Raw genomic sequence first — 13,895 nt, 5'->3', positions numbered from 1 at the left:
AAAGGTAGACAAAAATCCATTGGTTTTTCACTATGAGAGGTATCTCAATGCCTTCTTTCTGCTTGCTTCTTCCTCACAATGCTCAATAATTATAGTACTTTTAGTATTCTTTTTCTTCTGTTTACCATGAAAGGCTTTAAAAATATTCCTATGACTTTATCCTTAATTTTAGTCAATTAATGCCTTATTACTTATCAGTAACTTGACACAGATGTCTCCCACACAAGAAAAGGCTATTTTCTGTCCTTCCCTCCACCTTTCCACATCTCCTTTGCCAAGGATTTCTATCAGCTCTAATTCTACATGATCAAAGTCATTAGTGTTTACCTTTTATTTTGTACTAACATGAAAATTAATTTTCTTGCTTTGTTCATAGTTATGATTAAAATCATGCCACTTTTTAATTTGCTTTCTATTTGGAGAATGATTTTCATTTAGTTTTTGTGTGTTTGTTTGTCCTGGAGTTTTTAATTGTTATTCTTGTTTCTTGTTAGCAAAAGAATAACTATACTTTCCAGTTGCTCCATCTTCTCATCTTCTTGGTCAGAGAATCCTCAAGTGGCGTACCTTCCCCTCTTCTTCTTTACCTGAGACGCTCCCTCTCAGCGCCTGTGTCCTTCAGACCCAAAGCTGCTGGCACCTTGATCTCTGACTTTTAGCCTGTTGTTTAAGCCTCCCGGTCTATGGTACTTTGTTATGGCAGCCCTAGCAAACTAATACAGAACTATTACAAGTGGTGCTGCTAGGAGCATTTTTGTATATGTCTTTTGGTGACCATTTGTATAGATTTCTGCTAGAAATACACAATTCTCAGGAGTGAAGTTGTTATGTCAAAGAGTATGCATATTATCAGCATAAGTAGACACCAGAAACGTTTCCAAAGTTTTTCTGTATTAATTTATGCTTCCCTGAGTCCTTCTAGACAAGTACTTAGCCTAAAGCCTCCCCACACCTACAGCCTATACTTCTGTCCCTCTGTGCTTTCTAACTTCTTCCTACCCTGGTTCTTCATCACTGGGTGCTCTGATAAGCCCCTCTGTGCCATCTTACAATCAGACTTGTCCTGGTTTTCTATGTTTGGACTTTTTTCCATGCTTCTTTTTTTCGCTGATTGCCTTACTCCTGGGATAACTTTTTTCTTTCATCAAAGCTTACCTATCCTGACTTCAGCTAGGTGACAGTGAGTAACTATAATCAGATAAATTATTTGGTACAAATGAGATAGACTTCTAAAGTATTTATGGCCTTATACATGGGTTATAATTACATCCCGTTAAAGTTTAGAAATACTGGGCAGTCTTTGGAGCTTTCCCATATGAGACATTTTCATGAGTCTTAAAGTCATGACGAGTAGGGCAGCTGACTGTTCTGGGAATGAGGTCACTTTTGGGCATGGAATGAGAATTCATAGACTTTCACTTCTCCCAGCTCTGAATGTCTTCTTCACCTCTACAAACACATTCATCTTCATGCTTCATTTTACCAGGTTTCATGCCAACATTTATTCAGATGTCCAAGAGGCTTAAGACAGAGTGTGATGCTATTAACACCACCAAAAGAAAAAATCCAAGCTGCAGAAGGGTAATGTTACTCATATCCCTTACAAATCCAGACAATTACAATCCCAAATATGTGAGTCAATTCCTGGGATAAAGGAAAGTCTGTAAGGGAAGAGACAGTTTTCAGAAAAGCCTTTTACCTCTGGGAGCAGTACTTGATGGATGACTCAAAACAAAACTACAGAATAAGAATCAAGAGTGTACAAATCTCAGATAACACAGCAGAGAGAGCTAGTTAATGCGTGGGGCGAGGAATGCGGAACTGAGCTGGTGCAGGCCCCGCATGCAGGCACATGGCAATGGGCTTCACATTTCCACCCTCTTAGACTCCCACAAAGCCATGCACCAGTACCCTCCCTTTCCTAACGAGGAAACCAAAGTTTAGAAGAGTTAAGTCACCTGTTCCAGATCACACATCCCTAACCTGTGATGCTGGGACATGAACCTAGGCTTGTCTTGCTCTAAAATCCCTGCCCCTTTCACTCTAAACATCCACTGATATGCAAAAGGATTTGAGGAAAGAGACACTGAAATAAACATGGTGCGGTTAGAAAGAAATAAATGTAAAATCATTTACTTTGGTTTAAAAATATGTGATTGTACAACTGCAGGACAGGGACATTTTGGAGCAGCTCGCATTCTTAATATAAGCCCTCAATATGTCACAGCCGCCGATTAAAAACTAGTATTGTCATCTCAGCCAATTGGAGCAGTATATTCATAAAACCATACTCTCTCCTAAGGAGGATAACATAATGGTTTAACATGGAAGATCTGTCACAAACCTTGCTTCCAACACATATGAGCCATGTGACTTTGGGGCAAGTACTTCTCCTTGGTGATACCCAGCTTACTAATCTAAAGAATGGGGATAATCATAGCTCCTAATTCAGCGTTGATGTGAGGACCAAAGAGCTCAATGTGTAGCACAATGTGTGGCATGTATGGCTAAATTTTTTAGCTAAACATTTGCTGGTGTTATTATCCCCTCTGGAGTTCTGTGCCTAGTTTCAAAGTCTGCAGGTTAAGAGTTAAGAATGCCTCTGCGTTGCCTGGAGGAGAAGGAAAGCAGAGTTTGCCACCTGGTTCTCATCTCAGTGACTCTGAAGAGCAGATAAAGCCTGCCAAGTTAAAGGCCAGGAGAAAAGAAAGATCTTTTTCTTTTTTATTTCTTCCATCATTTAACATTTGTGTTTGAGTACCATCTACATGCCAGGCATGTTTTAGGCACTGTGAATAAAATGGTGAAGGCCTTGGTACCTGAAGTGAAGGGACTTCCATCCCAGTGGAGGAAACAAGCAGAGAACGGCCAAATAAAGAAAATGAATAGAATGATTGCAAATGGAAGTGTTATGAAGGAGCAAACCACAGGCTGAGATAGAGATGGTAAAGGGGTGGATTGCATTAGGCAGAGTAACCACAGAGTACTATTGAAGAGGTTGCAATTAATCAGAGATGTGAAGGCTAAAACATGGGCAGAAAGCATGCTCGGCAGAAGTAACAGCATGGACAGAAGCTCCAGTGGGAGAAAGCTTGGGCTGATCAGGAAGCTGAGAGAAGAACGGACACGTGCTTGAGACCAGGGAGCAGTTTCAAATGGGGTTGAGAAGATCTGACAATGTCCGTGGCATGGCCAGGAGTTTGGATTTTATTTTTAGGGCAATGGAAAGTCATTGAAAGGCTTTAAGTGGAGGCCAACGTAAGCTGGTGACAAACCTCACATGGAGCCTGGTACTGCAGGAGGATGTAGTAGAACCTTGATAATTTACTCTAGAGAGGACAGGGACCTGGACAGGGGACAATGGCAGTGGAAATGGGGAGGATGGATGGATCTGAGACAAGTCTTGGAAAGAAAATTCACAGGAAGTATCAGACTGTCCAACTATGACTAGGATCCTCCCTGAATGTTCTATTCAAACGATGGATAATCATTTGATAACTGGTGAAAAGGTACAGCCAGAAAGATTATTAGAATTTATCTGGTGTCAATCAGTCTAGGATTATTGAATATCTGAAATTCTTTATCAATTGCTCACTTTGGATAGATATAAAAATTATTTCATGTTAATGACATTAGACTCATATATTAAATTATCATATAGGAATGTTTTTGGGCTGAGCACAGTGGCTCATGCCTGTAATCCCAGGACTTTAGGAGGCCGAAACAGGCAGATTGCTTGAGCCCAGTAGTTCAAGACCAGCCTGGGCAACATAGCGAAATCCTATCTCTACAAAAAATACAAAAATTAGCCAGGCATGATGGCATATACCTGTAGTCTCAGCTACTCAGTAGGCTGAGGTGGGAGGGTCACTTGAGCCCGGAAGGTTGAGGTTGCAGTGAGTTGTGATCACACCACTGGATTCCAGCCTGTGTACCCGGTTTCAAAAAAAAAAAAAACTTAATTTTTTTGTTTTTAAATAGAAATACTTTTGGATTAATTAATCAGGACCAATCTAATATGGCATCTCGCAGATCTGCGGGAAAAAAGACTGGAGGGAAAAGTTCAGTCTGTAGATTTTTATTCAAGTAGAGCTGCCCTTCATGGCAGAAGGCTCTGGACCTTCAGGGAGTTATGAGCACCTGAGAAGGGGATGCAGAAAAGGGGAAATGTGCTGTGCAGGAACCTCACGACAAGGTCTGGCCCTGGGTTTTCCCTCATGTGACATCCATGAAAAGTCACTTCTCTAACTCTTGGGTCAGAACTAGAAGAGGTTCTTAGACCAGTGGTTTTGCCGATTAGAAGCTCTTGAAGAACTTCCAAAACAAAAACAAAACTATACCCAGGTAGAACTCAAGGAAGGGGAAGGGGGGATAAACTGTGTATTTTTAGTATTTTTAAAGAGTTCCCCAAGTGATTGTAATGCTCTCGAGGTTGAGAAACACATTACAAAGCTTTTGACACTGTCCTACTCTATTGTTTTATTGAGAGACTGCTATGGGCTCTAAATAAAACAATTTTTATGTCCTCACAAAATTTTTATGCTCCTACAAAATTCATATGTTAAAATCTTCAGCCCTAAGGTGATGGTATTAGGAGGTGGGCTTTTGGGAGGTGATTCGGTCATGACGGTGCAGCCTCATGAATGGGATTAGTACCCTTATGAAAGAGACCCCAGAGAACTCATTTGTTGTTTCTACTATATGAGGACACAGCAAAAAGATGCAATCTATGAAGCAGGAATCAGGCCCACACCAGACACTGGACCTGCTGGCCTCTGGATCTTGGACTTCCCAGCCTCCAGAACTGTGATAAATAAATTTCCATTGTTTATAAGCCCCCAGGTTATGGTATTTTGATGTAGCAGCCAAGAACAGACTAACCCTTTCTCTTCTAAAACTGGCAGGTATTCACTTGAACAATATGCACATATAGTAAGGGCAAGAGAAGTTTCACAAAATGAAGTAAGTGTATAAAAGTGAAGAGACAGTGTCTTGTCTCCTTTGCACTGGCCATGGATGGGGAGTGGATTCATGCCAGCTGTGCCTGTAATTTTCTCCCTCCTGATGCACTCAAAGTAACTGTTCAGTAGCTGGACAAGGCGATCGGCGCCCGAGTGGGACACAGATGCCCCATTCACTGTACTCCCAGGGCGGCTCTGCCTTGCCTTTAGTCTGATCTTTATTTGTAGTCTTAAAATTTTCCATTTCAACTTTTAGTCAGTAGATTCTCCAACTTCAACCCCTCTCAGATGACGATGGTGATGAGGAAGAAAAATACCTACCTGAGCTTTGCAAACATTTTTAGCAAACCCACACAGAGAGTGGGTAGAGTCTACAGCACATAGCTAAGCCCTTTGTCAATACGAGGCCTGGCTCCAAGTGCACACTGCTTGGCTCATGATCAAAATGGCTTCATCTTATTAGAAATCTCCAAGGCTTACAGAGTCAAAACTTGGACATTTACTGTACACATTAACAGAACTTATTCCACAGGCTCATAATAAATCTTTATAACCACATATGGCCCAGTTATAAATATCAGCTGGGAAGAGCAATAAAAGCACAGCGCACAGAAAGGTCTCTGCTCAGCTTGGAAGCACTTTAGACTTTATTAATTTACCTATTTTATCGAACTGTAACATTTCAGATGGTAGAGGGAACCTAATTCACTATTGAAGTAAACTGGAGAAAGTAATAAAACACTAAAATCTCTACAAGAAAAATAATGCAACAATTAGACACTTAGTTCATTCAAGTCCAGTTACAGTTCTTCAGACAAAATGAAACACAGGAAATTCCCCGTGAATTGTAAATTATTTCTTTGTGCCAGGCAGGTGGTAGTGGTAGGTTTCATTCCATTTGTTGTGGTTCTGATACCTCCCTCTTGAAACAAATGAAAGGTTGAGTTAGAGCTTCATCCACTTGGAAATGGAAGAAACATAACAAAGGGAAAAAGAATAGCTGTTCCTTCGACTCATCTCAGACACCCTAGCATTAATGCCGGGCCCGGCTACCTTTCCGATTTTCTACAAACAGTATTTCTGGGCAATACTGGTGGCATGCTGTATGCATGAGGGGCCTGTTCAGTCGTCTCCACTGGGGGGTCGTCTTCTCTGTCCCAGGCTCTGAAAAGTCACCTGTTTGTGTCTATTTACACATGAAGAGTGGGAAACTAGACTATTTACTCCCACAGTCACACACACAGTTTCAAACCTGAGAGGCCCATCTCAATTTTAAATATTGTTTGGACACACTGTAATTGCTGACATTATAGCTTTAATCATTGCTTTCTTTTGGTTGGAAAGTGATGGCTGTATTTTTTATCAACCCCTTTCTACAGCAGTTTCTCTCCCCTCTTCACCATTTCAAAACAATAACTTAAGTGTCACCTTGACAAGAATAGGCTTTGTGTCAGGAAACTTTTTTAGACTTAAAAGAAAAAAAATTCTCAAACACCAAAGATTTAAATTTTAATTAAATTGGTTATTATTCAAAATTACCACTCCACTTTTACTTTCTAACATTCTTATACTGGAGAACAATAAATACAGGTACTTACACTCTATTGTTCATCTTTAAGATTGCTAAATGGCTCTAAAGAACTTTCCTTTGACTTTTTAACTCAGTCTCACAGCCTTGTTTTCTTGGGACATATTTGCAGCTGAGTTGAAGATAGGATTTAGGGGCTTGGGAAAAGCAGAGTTTAAAATCTGGCTTTGGGAGTTAAACCCACAGAATTGCTCGATTACACAAACTTACATTAACTCTAGATTAGATACATATAGAAGATATTCCATATCTTCTGTTTTTAAGGATAAAAATTACAGCCAGATAGGAGGAATAAGTTCTAGTGATCTCTAGCACTACAGGATGACTATAGGTAACAGTAAAGTATTGTATAGTTTTAAATAGCTAATAGGAGGAAATTGAATACTCCCAAAACAAAGAAATGATAAATGATGATGTCTATGCTAATTACTCTGATCTGTTCAGTATGCATTATATGTTTCAAAACATCACTATATACCCCACGCATACACACAATTATTTGTCAATTTTTAAAAATTCAGTTAATTTTTAAAAACAGAATAAATTTAAAAATCACTTTTCATGTAATATGTGTGAGACTCCTAAATTTATATTGCCCATGAAGTGAATAATCATTCAAAACTATAAAAAAGAAATATAAATATAACATACATTCAGGCTTCGCATATTTTGGTAGCTTCTTAAATGTTTATATTATTTTTTAAAAATCCAGAAGTCAATGAGTTTTCAAAAGTATAAATTCCTGGAGAAATTTTAAAGAAATTAAGAAAAATATTGTTTTGTTTGCTTCTGTCAGAGAAATTTTAAAAATTATTTTCTTTGTAATTTGGAAATATTATAGTACTTTAAACTATGTTTGACTCAATAGTTAAAAGCTAATATATATGTAGTGTGAAATATATGTAGTGTTGTAGGGAAAAAGAATACATATATTTTACCAGTGTCAGGTATGTGCTAGAATATTTTCTATTTCTTATATCAAGAATATGTGTTCTTAATGCTGAAATAGAAGTTTTTGTTTGCATTAAAATTAACTATTCAAATACTATCCTGTAGGTCTTTTTGTGTTACAGTGTCTTCTCAGAAAAACTGATCCATTTTTTTTTTTCACGTGAGCACAGCTTACATTTCAGGAAGTTAACAGTGAACATTAACAAAAGTAAAATATAATGCCACATATCATTCCTAATTACAGCTTACAAGCATTGATACAAACTATGCATTTAATAAACACTATGCCTAAACTTTGACATACTCTTACATTATTTTTAGGTAAATAAAAATTATTCCAAGACAGTTGTTATGAAGCAAAATTATTAAAGACATCCTTACTATTTTTGAACCCCCTGCACTTCTGGGCACTTTATACAGTTTATATATTCATTCAAAGAGCCCTCTGTGGTGTATAAGTTAACACCAGACATTCTGGAGTTCTCCAAGAAGAATTTGTGGAAATTGAAACTATTATGAACCGTAATGACATATTATACATTGTACACATGCTATATTTCTATACAGATATTGTCAAAGGTCAACACTAGTCGTTTAGTCTTCAAGTTATATCATTATTTTTGAAATAATCTAGTTACAGTTTTAAATGGTAGATTTTCTTTTAAGTTAAATACTTATTATATACCACTTCATCCTATTATAGACCACCCTCCACCTCTTTTATCCTGTAGGATTTAAAACAGAAACAAATTCTCAAAGCCTTACCTAGTCAGGCTGCAATTGAACAAAGTTGCTTTCAGAGATTGGTCTGCAGTTTAGGTAGGATTTGAAGCCTGTGTCAAAAAATCAAGATACACATGGAGAAGAATGAGCCATTACTCACAGTTCGCAGATCTCGACAATATCTTAAGCCCAAAGGCTTAGTTTAAAAAGAAGACGCTTTCCTAACCTGGAACTTCCTGGATGGGGCGGTTTTAAGACAGGCTTGAAGAGGTATAATAATAACATAGATAACCCATGCTACCACGGTATCATTATGGACAATAAGACAGAATTAAACACCAACCTTTGCTAACAGTATTCTCAACCCTGCATTTTAGAACTGGTGGCATTTCGCTCCTTGGAAATCTATGCTGGCACTTAGGTCAGCTCATAAACAATCTGCCTGGATTTCAGACAGAGGCATTTTCTTCAAAGCCGTGATTAGGCAAATCTTTGACTTTCACTTGGGCAACACATAGCAAATCTGTGTCAAGACCTTTTGAAAACATTTTTACTAAATTAACGTCCCACTTTAATGTATCATCTCAAATAATCATCTCTCTATTGCCAAATAAAACACCTGCAGAATCACGGCAAAGTTCTCTTAAGGAAAGAGGATCTGGAGAAAGATAAGGAGCCAGGAAGAAACTGAGCACCAACCTGTGCATTTTGTTGCGACCTATGAATCAGTTCTATAGATTTCATCTTTTTTTTTTTTTTTTTTTGGCTCCTAAGAAATAAAATTTAAGTGTACAGCACAGGGCTCGAAGGACAGGCACAGAAATACCTGTTGGCTGACTGATTTAGGGCAAAACTTTGAACATGTTTTCAACTCAAACTCCAAATTAACTCCCAGTTGGGGGAGGGATTCTGTGAGTTCAGATATTGGAACAGCCAGTTTTATAGACAGCTGGAGACCAGGCTTTTGCCCCCAGTGTCAGTTAACTTTTTTTTTCTGGATGGAGGAATGTTTATATTAAGTTCTATTCCTCTCTGAATAAGTACTCCCCTCTCAGAAGCCAGCCCAGTTGGAGAGAGACTCCTAAAAGTAGCCCTAGTGTAAAACATATGTGCTAAAAATAAGCAGCCCTTTCAGCACCGTGTTCGCCGGAGCCGGTTCAATTTTAAACGCACTTTTATTCTCCAGATCCAAAGCCTTCAATGGGGGGAATTCAGGGATGAAACCAGTGAATGTTAGAAAAACAGAGGAAAGAATGGGAAATTAACATGCCTGTTACTGGAGAGATGAGGGGCCGGGGCATGGAGTGGTCCTTGGGTAAAACTTTGAGGCATCATAGATTTGCAGGGGATCTCTTGCTTAGAATTATATCCCCAGAGCCTACACTAGGGGCCACGTCCACAGGAGGCACTTAACAAAGATTTACTAAATTGAAATAAATTGATAACAAATCAGGTGACTATTTTTATTGATTTATTAATTCACCTATCCACTCTCTTATGAATAAAGAGTGGGTATTAACGCATATCTAATATATGAGATATAGAATAACTTGGAAGTAAAAGACACAGTTCTTGGGTCCAAAAGAAAGCTCTAGGAGGTGAAAGTGAATGCATGAGAGAAAAGTCACCAAGTATAGTGGCCTTCCGTCAACTTGCTGCAGGAGGTGATGTGACCAGAGTCCTAGGGACTCCTAGAGATAGTCTGAGAATATTTTGCAATTGCTGAAACACACGATGGCTGTGAAAAAGCAGATTGCAGTTTTCCTCGTTTGCAAGATGGGATCACCTGAAAAGTTTACAGAACCTTGCTTCTTTACTTTAATCTCAAACTTGGCTACCACCCATTGAAATTACCTGCAAATTTGAATAACTGAGATTGCGATTTATTGGTCTTGGATGTGTCCAGGCCATGGGGATATTTAAAAGCTCTCCATAACCCTTATGCACAGAAAAGTTTGAGAATACCATCCCGTTTTCAGCTGATTCAAAGTCGATGACTGTTTATTCCCCTCCATCTCTTATTTTTCCTACATTTTTTCCATAAAAAACAGGAAGGCTTGTACTTTCTATCACTTTGGCAGGTATACTGTAAGGATTTGTGAAGGGTAAAAGTGCTTAAAATACTTTGTGTATTGGCAAGGAGCAGAGTGGAATTCTGCCTAAATAATTTGCTATTCAATCCTTTATCTTCCCAAACCGAAACAGGTTCTGAATAGCTCTTCTTACCCCTCTTTAAATCATTTATAAAAGAATATGCAGATGCATGTATGTGGATTTTAAAATATAAATCTCTAGCTTGCAATTAGCACCCAACTCATACCAGCAAACAAAACAAAACATTTGTTTTGTCAACTAATGAGCAATCCCAAATGAGCAGGCTTTTCCTGATGGTGTTCACGAAATGCAGAATTAACACACACAGATGCTGGAAGCCTCAGCCAGACTTCTGACTTGGCCCAACCAGGCCTGGCTGCTGGCCATAGTGGTGTATCAGTTGAAGCCTGCAGAGACTAGCTGCCAGTTATACCACTGTGCAGACAGAATCTAACTGATTTGTTCAATGGAAGGTTATGTTTGGAAACATTCTGCCTTGCCTTGGCTGCCAAGCATGCAGACATGGCTCAGTCAAGCCTGGGTAGGGGAGGAAGCCCACCTTATGGAACACAGGTGCTGTCTGGCTGCCACTACCTGCTCAGGCCAGAGCCAGGGGCCAGCAAGGGCTCAGCATAGATGGTATGACCTGTGTGTGTTCTGCAATCTGGAAGCTCCTGTATCTGGTGCTGAAAGATCCTGTCCTAAGACATGTCAGCTCTACACCTACTTTTCTTACAGTATTTGGGGCACAATTCCATGACCACCTACTGACTTTGAGGTTTGTCAGCCACACAGAAGAATAAAAAAAGGCACGTAAGACATGAATTAGCATGGTGTGAAAACAAAAGTCAGTAAAAAGAGCCCGGGTGTGAGGAGGTATGAAAATGAAAACATGTTCTGCAAGAAAAGGGGTTTTTGATATGCTGAGAGACAAGTGCTGGGGAAATTTAAATTCCCATCTTTTACCAAGCAGCAACCCTGATTTTTATTGCACTTGCTGTTTAAAGAATTCAACAAGCCTCAGTCCTTTAACTCTAACAGTCTCCAGCTGACATCATGTGAAACTGCAGCAATTAATGGCAGCAAATTATGTTTTTAAATGCAAACATTGATATTAAGCTCTTCAGCAAAGTGCTTTCAATCACGTTTATATTGAAATCTGTCCTTACCTTCATATCTGGATGCTTCTAGTGACGCTCACTTACTCCTAGTGCAAGAGAAGGGGGAGAAATTCTATCCATTCTCCATCTGGAGACTGTTCCTTGGATCAAGATTTACAATATCCAGCCCCAAACTGACGCTCTTCTAGAGACGTTCTCCTGAACCAGAGAGCGAGAGGGGGCCTGACAGCAACGGCTGGCGGGGGTCGGCCTCTGCTTTGGCCACCTGACCCACTCACGGCTAAGCTGCCACGGCAACTGCAGAATTGATGGGGGCGAAGCGCTCTTCCTCCTAATTCCACCACACCCACATACACCTGGACATTTAAATGAAACACTTACAAAGGGAAACAGAATGGCTTCTGTATAACTTAAACCAGAGATAAAAGTACATGAAATGGCTTGTCCACACATGCAGTAAAATAAAACAAAAATCTGCTAGCAGGCAGCCAGAAAGGTGAACTATTTTGTGATTTGTATTTACATTGGCACATTGTTTATTTTTTCTTATTAGAAAAATGAAATAATACATGTTAGACTTCAGAAAGTATAAAAATTCATTACAAGGAAGTAGAAAATTATCTATAATGCTTCCCTTCAGATAATCACTATGACCGTTTTTGATGTTTACCTCTATGTATAAATTTGTAAGCTAAAATTCATATTGTACATGTAGTTTTGAATCAGTTACGTTTTCCTCTTTTTCTAATTATAAATATGGCTTATTTTCTGTACAAAAGTAAATCACTGGAGAAGAGAAAGCATAAAATTAAGTCTGTCCTATAATTCCACTCCCTCCTATAACCATCAATGAAGGTTTAGTGCTCATTCTGACAATTGTTTTTCTCTTTTGCAGACGTACACATAGGTGAAATTTTTATCTTGGGATCTTTGCATGTCACGAAGTGCGTTTTGGGAATACTATGCTAATGGTGACATAATGAATCAGAAATGCTTGAAAATTAGGCAATCCTCCCCCTATTGAGTTGGTTCCTGCAGTTGGATTATTTCACATCTTTTTCTGTTACAAAGTTTCCTTCTGGGCAGACCCTTTTTATCGTTTGCCTCATTGCTGATGATTTTCCTGGATATAAAGTCTTTGAAGAAGAATTAGAAATCACAGGACAAGAGTTTTGATATATGTTACAAAGCTTGATATATATTATAAGCTCTTTCACACATATAAGCACTTTCTACATTAAGCATATACATTTCGTTGCAATCGTAACCAATTTATGATCTTTTAATTTAGTTAAGAATTTTTTGACATTCCAGGTAGTCAAATCTTCCTATTACTTTTCCCTTGTGATTTTTTTTATGTTTAGAAAGTCCTTCACCAACAGAAGACAAATTAGACTTTCAGGTATTTTTCTGGTTTTATTTTTTAAATTTTAGTTTCACTTTTTCGATAACTCCTTAATCCAGGTGGAATATATTTTAATATGTCATATAATATGAGAATGCTTTGTTTTATTTTTCCAAATAGGTAAGTCATCTTTGAATAATATCATATTCCTTGACAGGCAATGGTTCCTCTAACACACATTCATTCCAGGGCTCCCAGTTCTGGTCTGTTGATCCACCATTTATGCAAAAATGCTACGCTGTTCTGCTTTTTGTAGTTTATAGTATAGTGGGTAAGCAGGTGGGTACTAAAATTAGATAATGCTTTGCTAAAGTCCACCATTGAGTTGGTGAGCTGGTGAAAAGGTGCTCAAACTCTCTGGCCTCTGCCAAAAACAGGTAGCTACAGCTTCTTCTGAATAAGGTTGTTGGAAGAGGAGAAATGGGAAAACTCACCAAAGACAGAGAACAGTGTTTGCCACAGATCAATTATAAATAGTAGCTACTGTTACTATGACTCCTGTTACATCTCATATCTGCAAGGAGGGGCCATAGCCAGCGTTTTTGGTTTTTGTTTTAGCTTTTTAAGTCTTGGCTATTTTTGCCTGTTATTTTTCCAGAAAATGCTCTTTAATACTTTCAAAAGAAATTTTATCAGATTTTGATTAAAAGTATTAAACTGTTATATTTCTTCATGAAGATTTGACATTGTGCCATATTATCCTCGGTACCACATGATATGTCTTTCTAATTGCTAAGATTTTATAATCTTCAGGTAAATTTGATATTTTATATTTTGCCTTTTCACATTGAGTCATAAAATTGTTCCTTGTTTTGGGGGGACTTTTTTGGTCATGTGATTCATACTTGCTTTTGAATTATGCCTTTGAACAAATTATTGCTTGCACTTGAAAAGCTATGTAACTTTGCTATATTGGTTTGAGATTTGGCAACATTACCCTATGTTAATATTAGGTCTAAATTTTTAACTGATTTTACAGGCTTTCTGAAAATTCAGTTATATCATCTGCAGATAATAATAACTGTGACTTCCCTTACAGAATCAGCTATTAT

The 13,895-nt window shown here is 38.3% G+C and overlaps 1 long non-coding RNA gene across 1 annotated transcript; it reads right to left on the bottom strand.

Annotated features, from left to right (window-relative positions):
* Nucleotides 1-5,287: 5,287 nt before the first annotated feature.
* Nucleotides 5,288-11,739, bottom strand: LOC105372560 (uncharacterized). Its single transcript, XR_937331.3, has 3 exons — nt 11,487-11,739; nt 8,266-8,333; nt 5,288-5,883 (listed from the first exon to the last, which is right to left on the bottom strand). It is a non-coding gene; the product is annotated as an uncharacterized LOC105372560 (long non-coding RNA).
* Between the last annotated feature and the right edge of the window lie 2,156 nt (nt 11,740-13,895).

The sequence above is a fragment of the Homo sapiens genome, chromosome 20 (genome assembly GCF_000001405.40).
Source record: "Homo sapiens chromosome 20, GRCh38.p14 Primary Assembly".
Classification (NCBI taxonomy): Eukaryota; Metazoa; Chordata; class Mammalia; order Primates; family Hominidae; genus Homo; species Homo sapiens.
This window is presented reverse-complemented; position numbering and strand designations above follow the sequence as displayed.